General features: G+C 35.6%; 1 protein-coding gene and 1 pseudogene across 3 annotated transcripts in view; one reads left to right on the top strand and one right to left on the bottom strand.

Moving 5' to 3' along the window:
* CFAP47 (cilia and flagella associated protein 47) overlaps positions 1-19,044 on the bottom strand; it is a 465,584-nt gene that overhangs the window by 358,093 nt on the left and 88,447 nt on the right. For all 3 annotated transcript variants that reach the window (NM_001304548.2, XM_017029452.2, XM_017029453.2), the window contains exon 22: positions 12,313-12,451. In NM_001304548.2, coding sequence (NP_001291477.1) covers positions 12,313-12,451 — 139 coding nt within the window. The remainder of the gene's footprint in view (positions 1-12,312; positions 12,452-19,044) is intronic.
* Positions 5,180-5,285, top strand: RNU6-641P (RNA, U6 small nuclear 641, pseudogene; annotated as a pseudogene).

The following is a 19,044-nucleotide window of genomic DNA, read 5'->3' as shown; positions in this document are numbered from 1 at the left end:
GCATTTGTATCCCCTAAATATATATTTATGTGTATATATATAATCATATATATATAATCACATATATATAATCATATATATAATCATATATATATAATCATATATATATAATCACATATATATAATCATATATATATATGATGACAGATTCACATGAAAGTCACCAGTATAAAATAATGGAACACCAGGAGAAAAGAGACGTTTCTAAAAGCTTCAAAGAGGAAACACTGAGTAGCATATAATGGATATAGAAGAAAAATAACAGATTTCTAAATACAAGAGAAGATAGAAGACAATAACCATAGTTTCAAAATTTTGAAGAAAAATTATTTGAATACAAAATTATATATTCAATCGAATTATATCATTCAAATGTGGGAGGAAAAATGATACTTTCAGACATGAAAATTCTCAAAAAATTAACTCCCTTGGAGTTAATGATGGACTTGATCAGAGTTTTTTGTTAACATTGAAATGGTGTTCACAGTGGACTTATAAGAAGAAGGCCTTTGACATATCTGCCTAGAGAGCTTATCAAAAATACATAGAATTTATGAATTTATGGAGCATGGATGACAAGGAGTAGAAATTTATCATATAGGCATTTTGTATCTATGTAACTATTAAGAGTACAAAAATAAGGAGCATCAAACAAAAATGGCATTCTTTGGGAACAAGGTTTATAGAAATGTCATTCAAACTGATCTAATAAACAGCATGAGGACTAATGTTAATTATATTATATTGTGTACTGGAAATTTCCTAAGAGAGCAGATTTTAAGTAATTTTGCCACCAAAAAATGTAACTGTGTGGGATGATGGATATGACGGATATGTTAATTTGCTTGACTATAGAAATCATTTCACTATGTATATGTATATCAAAACATCATGTTGTACATCTTAAATATACACAATAAAAATTTAAAAACGCACCTGTTAATTCAAAACTAAAAGGAATCCTAGGGCGGGAGAAAAGAACAATTTGGAAGATGTGTCTGACAGATCTCATCTTCTTGAAGAAGAAATGCTACATCTTTGCCTAATTTTTCTTGTATCATTTGAATCATTAGTGAACTTTGGTTTTGGTTAAGTTATATAATACAAGTAAGTCTGATTTTACATCTCAAATTTTTGTGGAAGGACAAAAATATCTGTAAATGCGTTACATATGTACTTTTTGGAAGTACAAAATGTCTAATAAAGTATTACATATTTATCAACCCTCTAGCTGACAAAGACATTCTAAATTTTCAAGCAATGTTAGACGTCATGAACAAGAGAGATTTTCCATAAATTTAACAAAGAGATCTATCGGAAAATGAATAATACTAAAGGCAAATAACAAATCTTGGAAGACATTCACATTAAATATAAAAATAATATAAACAGCTCACCCAAATGTACCAGACAAATACAAAAACTTAAAAAGCAAAGGTACTTTACTTAAAGGTGAAGTATATGAACAGACAAGTTACATAAAAATATACAATTAAAAGCAAAGGTAGGAAATTCTCATCCTCATGAGCAATCAAACTGAACATTGAAATAATATATTTTTAATCACAGAGAAAGATATACAAATTCTTTTTTTTTATAGACACCATCTTACTTTATCACCCAGGCTGGAGTGCAGTAGCAGGATCATAGCTCACCACTAGGTTCAAGAGATACTCGCGCCCCAGCCTCCTGAGTAGCTGGGTCTACAGATATGCGTCACCACATTCAACTACTTTTTTTTTTTTCATTTTTATTTAGAGACAGGGTCTCACTGTGCTACCCAGGTTGGTCTCGAATTTCTAGCTTCAAGGGACCCTCTAGCCTTAGCCTCCCAAAGTGCTAGGATTATAGGTGTGAGCAGAAATTACCAGTCAAGATAGCCAATTTCTTTAAGTCAACATTAATAAGATTTTACACCAAGGAGGGAGTAAAACGGTACAACCCTTTAGAAATGTTCTGTGACAACATTCATCTAGAACCTTTAACATGTATGCACTTTAGAAATAATAAAATCCATTTTGAGAATCTCTCCAAAAAATTCTAAATAAGAAAAAAAGTATTATACAAAAAATTTTCACTACCACAATATTTATATTAACAAGAAGGTAAAAGGAAGAAACAACCTAAATGCTTATGATGACGTTTAGGTCACCTAGAAGAGATACTTACGGGATGAATTTTTTTTGCACTAGCTCTCAGGGTTAATTTAAATAATTAATAAGGAACTACAATATCCAAGTAAAACATTCTATTAAGATTAAACAGAGAGAGAATGAGTGCAGCAAAATGTTGAAACAGAAGGTCCTCCCTGCAAAGGTCACCATTTAACAAGTATCTACACAAAAAAAGCAACTTCATAAGAACCAAAAATCAAGTGACCACTAACAGCACCTGGTTTCAACTTCATAACACTGAAAGAGGCTGAAGAAGTAGGTAAAACAGTCATGAATCACTGACATCACCTGTTCCAAATACCCGGCAGTGGCAGTACGGTACTGCCCTATTAGAGCAGAAAGTCAAACTGGATCAAACACAACTGACATCTACCCATGGAGGGAGTGTTTAAACCAGCCCTAGCCAGAAGTGAATCACTGATCCCAGTAGTCGAAAACTGAGTTCCCACAAGCCTCGCCACCTCAAAATAAAGTGCTGTGGAACCCTAGATAAAATTGAAAGGCAGTCTAGCCCACATGGACAGCAATTCCTAGGTAAGTCCTAATGGCCGAGCTGGGCCCAGAGCCAGTGTTCTGGGGAGGCACGTGACCTAATAAGACACCAGCTGGGGGAGCTAAGTAAGTGCTGGCATCACACATCCTCTAACTCAAGGCTGCAGAGCACACAGCTGCAAAGAGATCCCTCTCTTTTACACTTGAGGAGAAGAGAGGCAAAAGCAGGAAGGACTTTGTCTTACATTTTGGATAAGAGCTCAGCTGCAGCAGGATAGGGCACCAGTCAGGGTCATAAGCTCCTTTTCCAGACCCTAGCTTTCACATGACATTTCTAGAAACACCGTGGGCCAGAAGTACACCCTCTGCCTTGAAGGGGAGAACTCAGTCCTGGCAGTATTCATCACCTGTTAAGAGCCTATGGGTCCTGAATAATCAGCAGTGACTCCCAAGTTCTACATCAAGGGCCTTGGGTGAAACTCTGAGACTTGATGGCTTCAGGTGAGACTCAGCACATTAAGAGCTGTGGTGGCTATAGGGTGAGAAAAGCAGAGGGAAAAGTAATGGGGACTTTGTCTTGCGCCTTAGGTACCAGGTCAGCAACAGTGGGGGAGAGCACCAAGCGGGCTCTTGGGATTCCCAATTCCAGAACTTGGCTCTTGGGTGACATTTCTAGACATGCCCTGGGCCGGGGGGAGCCCACTACTCTGAAGGCTGAGTCCCAGGACAGGCAGCATTCACCACAAGCTGACTGAAGAGCCCTTGTGCCTTAAGGAAACATCAGCAGTAGTCTGGCAGCACTCCCTGTGGGCCTGTGGTGGCAGTGGCCACATGATGAGGTTCCTCTGCCTTTGGAATGGGGAAGAAAGAGTGGGGAGAACTGCATCTTGTGGTCTGTGTGCTAGCTCAGCTGCAGTATAATAGAACATCAGAGAAACATGTAAGGTTTTTGACTCTAGTCCCTGGCTCCAGGACAACACCTCTGGACCCACCCGGGGCCTGGGGGAATTTGCTGTCCTGAAGGAAAAGACACAAGACTGGTTGGTTTTGCCACCATCTGATTGTACAGCCCTAGGGCCTTGAGTGAACATAGGTGGTAGCCAGGGAGTGGCTATAGGAGGCATTGGGTGAAACTGAGTGCTGTGCTTCAGGTCTGACACAGCATAGTCCTAGTGGTGGTGGCCACAGAAGTACTTGTATCACTCCACTCCCAACTCCATGTGTCTCAGAACAGAGAGAGAGACTCTGTTCATTTGGGAGAAAGTAATGAAAAGATCAAGTCTCTGCCTGATAATTCAGAGACTTCTTCTGGATCTTGTCCAAAATCATCAAGGTGGTCCCTCTCTGATTCTGCAAGAATCACAGTGTTATTGGGCTTGGGGTGCCCCCTAAAGCAGACACAGCTTAGATCACAAAACCCAAGTCCTTTCAAATATCTGGAAAACCTACCCAAGAAGGACACGTACAAACAATCTCAGAATGTGAACACTACAATAACTACATAACTCTTGAATGCCCAGACACAGACAAACATCTACAAGTATCAGGACCACCCAGGAAAACATGGCCTCATCAAATGAACTACATAAGACACAAGGGACCAATCCTGGAGAATCAGAAACATGTGACTGTACAGAAAGAGGATTCAAAATAGTTATTTTGAGGAAACTCAAAGACATTCAAGATAATAAAGAAAAGGAATTCACAATTCTATAGATAAGATTAACAAAGAGACGGAAATAATTTTTAAAAATCAACCAGAAATTCTGGAGCTGAAAAATGCAATTTGCATCAGAGTTCTAATGGGAGAACTGATCAAGCAGAATAAAGAACCAGTGAGCTCAAAGACAGTCTATTTAAAAATACACAGTCAGAGGAGATAAAATAAAAATAAAAATAAAAAAAATTAAGCATGCTTACAGGATCTGGAAAATAGCCTCAGAAGGACAAATCTAAGAGTTACTGCCCTTAAAGAGGCAACAGACAGAGACAGGGGTAGAAAGTTGCTTCAAAAGGATAATAACAAAGAACTTCCCAAATTTAGAGAAAGATATATAGATATCCAAGTTATAGAACACCAAGCAGATTTAAGCCAAAGAAGACTACCTCAAGGGATTTAATAATCAAAATTCCAAGATCAAGGATAAAGAAAGAATCCTAAAAGCAGACAAAAGAGAAGAAACAAATAAGATACATAGGAGCTCCAACATGTCTAGCAGCAGATCTTTCAGTGAAAACCTTACAGGCCAGGTTGGAGTGATATGAAATATTTAAAGTACTGAAGAAAAAAAACTTTTAGCCTAGAATAGTATGTCTGGCAAAATTATCCTTCAAACATGAAGGAGAAATGAAGACTTTCTCAGACAAACAAAAGCTAAGGGATTTGATCAACACCAGAATTGTCCTACAAGGAATGCGTGGAGTACTTCAATCAGAAAGCAAATGGTGTTAATTGGCAGTAAGAAGTCATCTGAAGGTACAAAACTCACCGGGAATAAGAAGGACACAGACAAGTGCTCACGTCAGAGGCACATATACTAAAATTGGAATGATACAGAGAAGATTAGCATGGCCCCTGCAAAAGGATGACATGCAAATTCATGAAGTGTTCCATATTTTTTGGAACCAACCCAAATGCCCATCAATGATATACTGGATAAAGAAAATGTGGCACATATACACCATGGAATACTATGCAGCCATAAAAAATAAGTTCATGTTCTTTGCAGTGACATGGATGAAGCTGGAAACCATCATCCTCAGCAAACTAACACAGGAACAGAAAGCCAAACACCGCATGTTCTCACTCATTAGTGAGAGTTGAACAGTGAGAACACACGGACACAGGGAGGGGAACATCACACATCGTGGCCTGTCGGGGGGTGGGGGGAAAGGGGAGGGATAGCATTAGAACAAATACCTAATGCATTTGGGGCTTAAAACCTAGATGATGGGTTGATGGGTGCAGCAAACCACCATGGCACATGTATACCTATGTAACAAACCTGCACATTCTGCACATGTATCCCAGAACTTAAAGTATAGTAAAATGAGTAAATAAACAATTAAAAAAATAAAAACACAAAAAATTAGCCAGGCATGGTGGTGCATGCCTGTAGTCCCAGCTACTCGGAAGGCTGAGGCAGGAGAATCACTTGAACCCAGGAGGTTGAGGGTTGCAGGGCCAAGATCATGCCACTGCACTCCAGCCTGGGCAACAAAGCAAGACACCATCTCAAAAAAGAGAAAAATTAAAAAAAGGACACACAAAAAACAAATATTATAGCACTGTAACTATGGTGTGTAAAATACTCTTACATAGACTAAATGATGATCCAATCAAAAATAATAATTACAACACCTTTTCAAGACATAGTACCATAAGATATAAATAGAGACAACAAAAAGTTAAAAAGCAGAGGGATGAAGTTAAGGCATAAAGTTTTCATTAGTTTTCTTTTTGCTTTTTTATTTGTTTTTCATGCAAATAGTGTTACCTTGTTATTAGCTTAAAAGGAAAGGTTATCAGATACTATTTGCAAACCTCATGGTAACCTCAAACCAAAAAAATACAACAGATACACTAAACATAAAAAGTGAGAGACTAAATTATATCACCAAAGAAAATCACCATCCCTAAGAGGAAGACAGGAAGGAAACAAAGAAGAAAACAAAGACCACAAAACAAGCAGAAAAGAAATAACAAAATTCAAGAAGTAAGTCCTTACTTAACAATAATAACATCAAATGTAAATGGACTGGCTGAATGGATAAAAGTACAAGACCCAGTGACCTGCTGCCTATAAGCAACACAATTCATCTATTAATATAAAGACCCACATAGACTGAAAACAAAGTGATGGAAAAGATATTTCATTCCAACAGAAACCAAAAAAGAGCAGGAGTAGCTACACTTTTATCAGACAAAATAGGTTTCAAGGCAAAAACTATAAGAAGAGACAAAGAAGGTCACTATATAATGATAAAGGAGTCAATTCAGCAAGAAGATATAACGATTATAAATGTATATGAACCCAACACTGGAGCACTCAGATATACAAAGCAAATATTATTAGACCTAAAGAAACAAATAGATCTGAATGCAATAATAGCTAGAGTCTTCAACACTCCACTTTCAGCATTGGACAGATCTCCCAAACAGAAAATCCAAAAAGAAGCATTTGACTTAATCTACACTATAGACCAAAAGGATCTAATAGATATATACAGAACATTTCATCCAATGGCTACAGAATATATATTCTTCTTCTCAGCACGTGGATCATTCTCAACGAAGAATCATACGTCAGGTCCCAAAACAAGTCTTAAAACATTCAAAATTTGAAATTATATCAAGCATCTTCTCTGACTACAATTGAACAAAACAAGAAATCAATAATAAGAGGAATTTTGGAAACTATACAAATTCACAGAAAGAAAACATAACATATCCAAACCTATGGGATACAGCAACAGCAATACTAAAAGGAAAGTTTATAGCTATAAGTGTCTATATCAGAAAAGAGGAAAATCTTCAAATAACCTAATGATGCATCTTAAAAAACTATAAAAACAAGAACAAACCAGAATTAGTAGAAAAAAAGAAATAAGATCTGAGCAGAAATTTTAAAAAATGAAATGAAGAGAGTACAAAAGATCAATGAAATGAAAAGTTGTTGTTTTGAAGAGTTAAACAAAATTGACAAACCTTTAGCCAGACTAACTAAAAAACAAGAGAGAAGATCCAAATAAATAAAATCAGAGATTTTTAAAAAGGCTTATTACAACTGATACTGCAGAAATTCAAAGGGTCATTAGTGGCTACTATGAGCAACTATATACCAATAAATTGGAAAAATCTAGGAGAAATTGATAAATTCCTAGACACATACAATGCACCAAGATTGCACCATGTTGGGGTTCAGTCAGGCGGGTGGGAAAAATATTAAAGATAGTTATAGTAATAGCGACAACCTCTCTTGGAAGGCCTGAGAGTTTGCATAGCTTCACATTGCTTGGCTGAAGGCAGCCAGGGTCTCTTTGCAGGAGCCAGAAAGATTAGGGTGCAAATACAAAGGAATGTGTGGAGTTTATCTTACCAAACTGTTTACTTATATGCGCCTAAGACTAACCTTTGTCCTACCACAGGTGCTTAACTGCCTCCTACTCGGGGGAGGAGGTCGGCAGAAGTTTATTACCTGCAAATCGTGTTTGCTTTAGGCCGAGGAACCTGGCCTTGAATCTTTACCCTCTAGTGATGTTTACTCAGGACCTCTTAATCTTTACTAAATAAATGCAAATCTCACTGACTGATTGAGGCCACAGTCTTAACTGTTTACAGGACTCTGCTGGAGTCTCTAAGAGGCTCAGACATTCAGCTGGACTGGCAAAGCAGAATATCTGTGTGTCGGTGTACTTCATTCATCTGTCGCTGGGTCAGGGGTCTGCAAGGGACAGACCCCCCCACAACTGGTGCCCCCGTGTGAGGAGCACTACCGCAGAACCAGGGGGAAATTCCAAACTTCAACAGACCAATAATAAGTGATGAGATTCAAGACATAATAAAAAGTCTCCTAGTAAGGAAAACCTGGTATCATCACTGTTGTATTCCACCAAACATTTAAAGAACTAATACCAATCCTCCTCAAACTATTCTGAAAAACAGAAGACAATGGAATACTTCCAAATTCATTCTATGAGGCCAGTATTCCTCTGATACCAAAACCAGACAATGACGCATTTAAAAAAAAAAAAAAGATAGGACAGGCCAATATCGCTGATGAATATTGATGCAAAAATCTTCAACAAAATACTAGCAAATCAAATTCAGCAATATATTAAAATGATCATTCATCATGACCAAGTGGGATTTATCCCTGGGATGCAAGAATGGAATAATATATGTAAATCAATCAATGTGATACATCATATCAACAGAATGAAGGACAAAAACCATGTGATCATTTCCATTAATGCTGAAAGAACACTTGATAAAATTCAACATCCTTTCATGATAAAAGCCCTCAAAAAACTGGAGATAGAAGGACAATTCCTCAACGTAATAAAAGTCATACATGACAGACCCACAGATAGTATCAAACTGAAAGCCTTCCTCTAAGATATGAAACATGACAAGGATACTCACTTTCTCCACTGTTACTCAACATAGTACTGGAAATCCTAGCCAGAGCAATCAAACAAGAGAAAGAAATAAAGGCATACAAATTGGAAAGGAGGAGGTAAAAATAACCTTGTTTGCAGAGCAACATTATTTTGTATTTGGAAAAATCTACAGACTACATCAAAAAATATTATAAATGACAAATTCAGTAGAGTTACAAGATACAAAATCGACAGAAAAACCAGTAGATTTCTATATGCCAATAGCAAACAGCATGAAAAAGCAATTTTAAAAGTATTCCCATTTACAATAGCCATAAATAAAATTAAGTACCTAGAAATTAACTTCATCAAAGAAGTGAAAGAACTCTACAATGAAAATTATGAAACATTAATGAAAGAAATTGAAGAGGACGCCAAAAAAAGGGATGATATTTCACGTTCTCGGTTTGGAAGAGTCACTATTGTAAAAATATCCATATTACCCAAAGCAATCTACAGAGTCAATCTAATCCCTATCAAAATACCAATGACATTCTTCACAGAAATTGAAAAATCAATCCTAAAATTTATATGGAACCACAAAAGATCCACTATCTTAGGCAAAAGTTCAAAACTAGAGGAATAACATTACCTGACTTTATACTACCTAGCTATAATAATCAAAACAGACGGTACTGGCAGAAAAACAGACACATAGACAAACGCAATGAAATAGACAAACCAGAAACAAATCCACACACCTACTGTGAACTCATTTTCAACAAAAAAGCCAAGAAAACACAATGGGGAAAAGACTTACTTCAATAAATGGCACAGGAAAACTGGATATCCATATGCAGAAGAATGAAACTACACCACTATCTCTCACCATATACAAAAATAAAATAAAAAGTAATTAAAGACTTAAATCCAAGACCTCAAACTATGAAACTTCTACAAGGAAATATTGGGGAAACTTTCCAGGACATTGGTCCAGGCAAAAATTTCTTGAATAATACTCATAAGCACAGTCAACCAAAGCAAAACTGGACAAACGATATCACATCAAATTTAAAAAGCTTCTGTGCAGCAAAGTAAACAATCCACAAAGTGAAGAGACAATACCCGAATGGGATAAAATATTTGCAAACTACCCATCTGACAAGGGTGTATTTGTACCACATTTTCTTTATCCAGTAATCTGTTGATGGAACCTTAGGTTGCTTCCTAATTGGGCTATCATGAACAGTGCTGCAACAAACATGGAAGTGCAGATATCTCTTTGATACACTGATTTCCTTTCTTTTCGGTATATGCCCAGCAGTGGGATTGCTGGATCATATGCTAGCTTTATTTGTATTTTTTGAGGAAACTTCAAACTTCAAATGGGTTAATAACCAGAATATGTAAGGACCTCAGACAACTCTATGAGAAAAAATCTAATAATCCGATTTAAAATTGAGCAAAAGAATAGACATTTCTCAGAAGAAAACATACAAATGGCAAACAGACACATGAAAATGTGCTCAACATCATTGATCATCAGAGAAATGCAAATCAAAACTACATGAGATATCATCTCCCCTCAGTTAAAATGGCTTTTGTCCAAAAGATAGGCAAAAACAAATGCTGGTGAGGATACGGAGAAAAGGGAAGGAACCCTTGTATACTGTTCGTTGATGCGAATGTAAATTAGTAGAACCACTATGGAGAAAAGTTTGAAGTTTCCTCAAAAAAAAAAAAAAAAAAAAAAAAGACTGGCATAAGATCCAGCAATCCCACTGTTGGGCATATACCCAAAAGAAAGGAAATCAGTATATCAAAGAGATATCTGCACTCACATGTTTGTTGCAGCACTGTTCACGATAGCCAAATTAGAAAGCATCCTAAGGTTCTATCAACAGATTACTGGATAAAGAAAATGTGGTACAGATACATAATGGAGTACTATTTATCCATAAAAAGAATGAGATCCTGTCATTAGCAACAATATGAATGGAACTGGAGGTCATTATGTTAAATGAAATAAGGCAAGCACAGAAAGACAAACATCACATGTTCTCACTTATTTGTGGGATCTACAAATGAAAATGATTGAACTCATGGAGACAGAGAGCAGAAGGATGGTTACTACAGGCTGTGAAGGGTAGTAGGTGGATGAGGGGCAGGATGAGGGGATGGTATATGGGTACAAAAGCATAATTAGAAAGAATGAATAAGACTTAGTATTAGCTAGCACAACAGGGTGACTACAGTCAATAATAATTTAATTATATACTTAAAAATAACCAAAAGAGTATCATTGAATTGTTTCTAACACAAAAAATAAATGCTTGATGGGATGGATACTCCATATTCCATGATGTGATTATTACCCATTGCATGCCAGTATCAAAACATCTCATGTACCCCATAAAGATATACACCTACTATGTGCCCCCAAAAACTAAAAATTAAAAAATAAAATGAAACAGAGCTGGTTTCAACTTAGCATAAGCAGTAAGATCACAAGCATATTAAAAAAATACATTAACAAAAGGGATGTATAGAACAAAAAAGATATCAAAATATTAAGAACACTTTAAATATTTGAATTTCAGATATTTTTGCTTCTACATTTTCCAATTTTCTTTAACAATGCTATCTTAATTTTTAATTTTCAAACAAGTAAATGTTTTGAAAGCTTATCTACCTAATTCAGGAAGCAATATTAGATTATGATTACTTTCCAAAAGAAATTCTTAATTCAAAGGGAAAAACTTTAACTTCATTGAGCCTCCATATCAGCTGTGGAATTCCTAATTCTGGATTTTAAATGAGAGTGAAATATTTTTATCATCTGCATGCTATTTTCGTGAGACCTCTCTTACTAGTTACCAAATGCAATTATTAACTGATATGATACTCCCTACTATTTTAGAATTAATGACGATTTAACTTAATATCAGAACTATAAAAACAAAATATAGACTTCTTTTCTTTTCATGAAAAATATACATATATAATTGAAAGCAAAGCCAACTTGCAAAAATGTAATTTGCAGAGTACATCAGTTTTTATCTTTTAATATTTGAAGAAAATGAGTAGATAAATATTCAGCAAAACTTTCAAATTTCTAAAATACTTCTTCTTTTCATGTACTCAGTCTTTTAGTAACCCATCCCTTTGGAATAGAGATATGTTCTTAAACAAAATTCTTATTATTTTATTTTATGTTAAATGCATTTTGTAATATTTTAATAATTTATATTTTGTCTTAATTATTTAAAATTGACCACATAATAATGTACTAAATTGGCCTGATTTTCATTCTATTCTCTTTTTTTTAGCAAGTTGCTTGCCAGAGATTATATCTGCGCTGTTTGTCAACACTCAAATCTCATAGACTCAATTTAAGTGACACACAAAGGAATCCTCTTAAAATTTTATTTTCTAATATTTCCATTTATGAAAAACAAATGGCATATTCTATTTTTTATCTTTTAGACACTTAAGTGTAAATCTTTGGCCTACCCACACCAATTGATTATTTTATATTACATACCAGTAGCTTGAACGTAACATGGTCGGATAAGTGGTACTGTTTTTGGATTCGAAGGAGAACTGGACAAATATTTAGTGTAGAGCTTTGAAGACTCAAAGAAATTAATCTGAACTTGAATGATGAATTCAACTACTGTCACCTGATACAAAAAAAATACATTATACTTGTTAATTTTTGCTTTGCGAAATATGGGATACTATTTATTTAGCCAAACAGCAGTTTTTAAAAAGCAGTTTTAAAAAATAAAATTATCTTGCGACATTGAACTACATTTTTAAAAAAAAGATGGTTCATTTTTAATGAGTTCAAAAATAATTCAAAAAAATAAAAATAAATTTTTAAAATAATTCTTATTCATTCAAAATGAACCAGATTTTAAATATAAAATCCAAAGTGGTAAATATTTAGGAAGAAATTATAGGAAAAAAAATCCTTGTAATCCTTGGGTAAGCAAAGATTCTTAAATACAAAAGCAACCATCTATTAAACTATCTATTGAAAAGCAATTAAATTGTACAGTATCAATTGTTTAATCTGTTATTTTAAAAGACATTATTAAGAAAATAAAAGTATAAGTCAAAAACCCATTTCTCACAAAAAATCTATCTTGTATCCAAAGTACATAAAGAATACTCAAAGTTCAATTTAAGAAAATGAACTAATGAAAAAAGTTGGTGAAATATTTGAAAAGACACTTCAGAAAAGAAGCTATACAAATTACACATTAGCACATGGAAAGATGTTTCATACTAAGGAAATGCAAATTGAAACCATATGAGATATCACTTCACACCTATCACAACTGCTTAAACAAAAATAACATGTGAACACGTAAAACACATACATTGCTGATGAGAACGCAAAATTTTATAGTTACTTTGAAAAACAAGTTTCTTCATTATTAGAAAGTTAACTATATATTTCACATAAAGCTCAGGACTCCCAAATTTAGGTGTTTACCCAAGAGAAGTGAAACTTATTCATACAACTTATTCATTATTGCCAAAAACTGAAAATAATCCAAATGCTCTCCAAATGGTGAATGAATAACAAACTTACTTTTCAACAATAAAAGAATGAACTACTGTTGCATACAATAATGTGGATGAATTTCAAATTTATTATGCTAAGTGAGAGAAGTCAGACTGAAAACCTCATGATTACCTTATGAATACCTTATGATTTCACTTATATGACATTCTATAAAAGGCAAAATTATGGAGTCAAATTCAGATTAGTGTTTGCCATGGACTAGAGGTGGAGGAGGGGATGAATACTAGGTCTTGATTCATTCTTTTTAACTATGTTTTTGTACCCATTAACCATCGATACCTCCCCCTCATTCACCTAGTACCCTTCACAGCCTATAGTAATACACACAAGAAAATGTACAGAAGGTGATGCAACTGTTCTCTATATTGATTTTGTTATTTTTTGCCCAATTGTATACATTTGTTAATTGTTCATATATCCGAAAGAGACTTTTAGTTTATGCACATTTTTTAAAAAGTTAAAGCGAATTCCTTGGCTGTGATTTTTATACATCTGGATTCAAAACCCGAAATGGACTGACAATATCGGCACCCAGGCAGGTGAATCATAAAACAATTAACACTCAGAGCTACAAAATATATTTGCAATTATATAGTGCTAGCCCCTCATTTTCAAAAAAAGAATATGTGGTCCAGTCTAGATGAAAACACAGAGTCTGCATCAAAGAGAAAAGAAAGAGTCGATCTTCATGTTTGGGGGCTGTATCAAAACTAAAAAGGTTGGCTTCAGCCAAATGGTAAACAGGCAGCTCCAAATGTCCATGGCCCCACAGAAACGTGAAAAACACATAAAAACTGTCAGGAACCGTGTTGTCAGAACTGGAAAAAAGTCAAAAGTTTACAGCAATCAAGTGAACACTGAATCAAAAAAAAAAAGACAACTTAAAAATAGTAGGAAAGCTTTGTGGCACTTTTACTTGCCCTTGTGCCACTCCCTCTGACTCAGCAGTTGTCTTGAGGCTAGCAGACTTCATTCCCCAGTGCAAGACCCTGGGACCTGTTTTCTTTATTTTTTTAACTTAATTTAATTTTTTATTTTAAGTTCCAGGATACATGTGCAGAATGTGCAGATTTGTTACGTAGGTATACTTGTGCCATGGTGGTTTGCTGCACCTAACAACCCGTCATCTAGGTTTTAAGCCCCGCATGCATTAGGTATTTGTCCTAATGTTCTCCCTCCCCATGCCCTCCAACCACCAACAGGCCCCACTGTGTGTTGTCCCCCTCCCTGTGTCCATGTGTTCTCATTGTTCAACTCCCACTTATGAGTGAGAACATGTGGTGCTTGTTTTCTGTTCCTGTGTTAGTTTGCTGAGGATGACGGCTTCCAGCTTCATCCGTGTCCCTGCAAAGGGCATGCTCTCATCCTTTTTTATGGCTGCATAGTATTCCATGGTGTATATGTGTCACGTTTTCTTTATCCAGTCTATCATTCATGGGCATTTGGGTTGTTCCGAGTCTTTGCTATTGTAAATAGTGCTGCAATAAACATACGTGTGCATGTGTCTTTATAGTAGAAAGATTTATAATCCTTTGGGTATATGCCCAGTAATGGAATTGCTGGGTCAAATGGTATTTCTGGTTCTAGATCCTTGAGAAATCGTCACACTGTCTTCTACAATGGTTGAACTAATTTACACTCCCACCAACAGTGTAAAAGCATTCCTATTTCTCCACAGCCTCACCGGCATCTATTGTTTCCTGACTTTTTAATAATTGCCATTCTGACTGGCATCAGATAGTATCTCATTGTAATTCTGATTTGCATTTCTCTACTGACCAGTGATGATGATGTTTTTTTAATGCTTGCTGGCCACATAAATGTCTTAAGTGTCTGTTCATATCTTTTGATGGATTAAAAACTTAAATGTAAAACCAAAAACCATAAAAACCCTAGAAGAAAACCTAGGCAAAACCATTCGGGACACAGGCATGGGCAAAGCCTTCATGACTAAAACACCAAAAGCGATTGCAACAAAAGCCAAAATTGATAAATGGAATCTAATTAAATTAGAGAGCTTCTGCACAGCAAATAAACTAGCATCAGAGTGAACAGGCAACCTACAATATGGGAGAAAATTTTTGCAATCTACCCATCTGACAAAGTTCTAATACCCACAATCTACAAGGAACTTAAACAAAGATACCTGGTTTTTGATGAAACAAAACAGACTTCATTCAGAAATTACTGTGTTTATCTCTTCTAACCTTCCTGGGGGTACATGAAGGACTGATGCAATGTGCTTGGCATGTTTTGCCTATCTTTGAACTCACTCAAGGCAGAAAAGCAGTGAAATTGTTAAAAAATATTGTAAGATAAACAAAAAACCCAAAGCCACCTGACAGAATATTATGGTTGAGACATGCAAACGCTACCTAAAGTCTGGAAATAAAAGTAGGAGAGCTTTTGGAGAAATTAAGGCATTTAAAAGTGCCCTGGAGAATTTAGAAAGCATCAAGGACACTCAGAGTAGGACATGTGCTCAGAAAATACCTGAGAAGATGTTAAACTTTCATCTTTGTCTGACTCTAGGCTAAGTGCAAGTGGTAAGTAAAAACTAAGAAATTGTTGTAAACAACCTCGCTAACTGCTGAAGAAGTGCCTCAGGACACTCTATCCAAAAAGACTATGATAGGTGTTTTTGTTTATGTGTCTGATTATTTTAGTTCCTGGCATTCAAGGAAATATATCTCAAAACACTACTCAACACCAGCTAAAGGAACAGACACTTCAGTGACCATGCATAGCAAAGAATGTATTCTTTGCAATAATAGTTTTGAAAAGTCAATAAACAAATGGATGACTACAGCCTTCAATAAGCAAGAAGAGTAAACCCAGAGAAAGGAGGATAATCTGATGTACAGAGTTACCAAATTATAATATTCAAATGTCCAGTATTCAATAACCAACAAAACAAAACAAAAGATTATGAAGAAATCCCAGCCATAGGACTTATTAGAAAAAGACTTTAAAGCCACTGTCTTAAATACGTTCATAGAACTAAAGGAAACCATAGAAAAGAACAAAAGAATGTCATGAAAATAATGTATACACGAAACGAGAATATCAACAGAGAAATCATAACAATCAATAAACAAAAAGTTGGTTGTTTAAAAATATTATAAAAATGACAAAACACTTTGGGAGGCCAAGATGGTTGGATCACGAGGTCAGGAGATCGAGACCATCCTGGTTAACACAGTGAAACCCCATCTCTACTAAAAATACAAAAAAATTAGCCAGGCATGGTGGCGGGTGCCTGTAGTCCCAGCTACTCGGGAGGCTGAGGTGGCAGAATGGTGTGAACCCGGGAGGCGGAGCTTGCAGTGAGCCGAGATCATGCCACTGCACTCCAGCCTGGGCAACAGAGCGAGACTCCATCTCAAAAAAAAAAAAACGACAAAACTTTAAACTAGTCTGACAGTAAACAAATGAGAGGAGACATGAATAACTAAAATAAAAGATGAGATTATGGACATTACTATCAACCATATAAAAAAGGGTTAATTCAAAGAGAATACCATTCTTATGGCTCAAGATCCAAATCTCAATTTTGAAAATAAAATTATAAATTACATAATTTATTAGAAATTTAAATTGATAAAAATAAAATTGATCTATACTAAAGCTGAAAATGCTACGGAAGTAATATCACTGCTAAAATATTTACATATGTATGAGAAAATTCTTATTGCATTTCAAGTTACATTACAGATAATTTAAAATAAAAATTCATTTTTTCTAATGACGTTTTTAAACTTTGTGTTGATTTTTTTTTACCAAAACCTTACATTATTTATGTTTAAAAAATATTAAGATGGTCGACCCTGTTATTCCATGGTACCTTGGTAAACTTCTAGAGGTGGGAGGTAGAAAACAGGCAAGAATGTGAATATTTTAAATGTGAAAAGGGAAGAATAATAGTACTTCTCACATGCCAAAACCTCCAAGGTCATGACAACAAGCATTGATGGGTTCAGAGGTACATATATCTAGTACTGTGCTATACTCATAAACTCAGTGCTGACAATCTAAACAGTTTTAAATAAAATGAGGAGCTGAATATTATAAAGTGCATATGTTCAGCTCTAGTCATTCATATTGCCCTAATAGGCAAAACACTTGGGTTTCTATTTTTATTTAACTTTAACTGGCTGTACCACTGCCAATTCCATTTTCTGTCATAGAATCTTATGTACAGTCCATTCTTATAACCAAATTATAGAAGCCTAAAATACTGCTCATATGTTATTTTCCTGAGGTTTCAACTCTTTGGTCAAAACAGCAAGCAATTCATTCCCATGATAATCTATTTCTGCAGTGGCACTAGCTTGCAGACATCAAGGAATAAATTGCATAAAGATGTAGTATTTCATGTTCAAATACAACCTGTTTTGATATTTCATAGATAAGAAAAAACAACAACAACTTTGCTTGATCTTATTTCCCTGGAATCTTAGCATTTAATCATCAGCAGCTGGTTATATTTTGTGTCTCATTTTTATTTTTCCACTTCTGGTTCATCTGCTTTTTTTCTTAATTTGATTATTAATATCATACATATTATAATATTACTATTATTTTAGGCTATTATTTTATTTTTAAGGCTTTTTTATATATTAATAATATGGACTCATATTTTAAAGTCAAATACTGCCAAAGAGTATGTTTCGCAAACTGTCATCTTCATCTGATTGCTGGATGGACATTAGTCTTTAACAGAAGCTGAGGGGACTGGAAATGTGAAGAAAAGGAAAATTATAATGATAGGACCCATCTTTTCTTTCAATGTGTCACTTAGTTTCTTCCACATCAACAGAAATGTGAAGAAAAAGGAAGTGTGAGGCCAGGGTTCTGGATAAACCTCCATTTGGATACTGAAATCACTCAGAAAATGAGATGAGTAGGGTACCGGATATACTATGAGTCTAGCTGGCGGTGACCAGGAGCATGTCTGGAGATGACTATTCACAAGAGACCACTCACCAGAGATTTCACAGAGGGGAACTGGCAAAGCCACACAATACAAAGTTCAAAGAAGCAGGCTTTTTAAAATTATTTATTTTATTTATTTATTTATTTATTCTTTTGAGACAGAGTCTCACTCTGTCACTCAGGCTGGAGTGCAGTGGTGTGATCTCGGCTCACTGCAGCCTCCTCCTCCTGGGTTCAAGCGATTCTCCTGCCTCAGCCTCCCTAGTAGCTGAGATTACAGGTGAGCATCACCATGCCCGGCTATTTTTTGTATTTTTAGTAGAGACAGGGTTTCACCATGTTGGCCAGGCTAGTCTGGAACTCCTGACCTCAGGTAATCTTCCCACCTCGACCTCCCAAAGTGCTAGGATTACAGGCATGAGCCACCATACCCAGCCAGAAGCAGGCATTTTTAACAGATAAGGACCCTCTAGAAAAATCACCCCAGGGAACAAGGCCTCCAGAAAGGATCACTTCTAGACCCACAGCAAGATTCATAGGAAATGCTATTTTAAAAAACAGTGCTATTGAGATAGCCAGGTTCCCAATGAGAAGAAATCATGAAGAAAAAGGAAGCCCAGAAAAATACAGAGGACTTATAGAAGCGTAGGGACACTAGAGGGCAGAGAAAAAGGGAAGGGAAGCTAAGTGTGAGGGGAATCAGAGCTGACAGGGAAGAGAAGCTATTCACAGGATGCTCCAATT

The sequence above is a fragment of the Homo sapiens genome, chromosome X (genome assembly GCF_000001405.40).
Source record: "Homo sapiens chromosome X, GRCh38.p14 Primary Assembly".
NCBI lineage: Eukaryota > Metazoa > Chordata > Mammalia > Primates > Hominidae > Homo > Homo sapiens.
The sequence above is the reverse complement of the archived record's forward strand: the minus strand, read 5'-3'. Positions and strand labels throughout refer to the sequence as shown.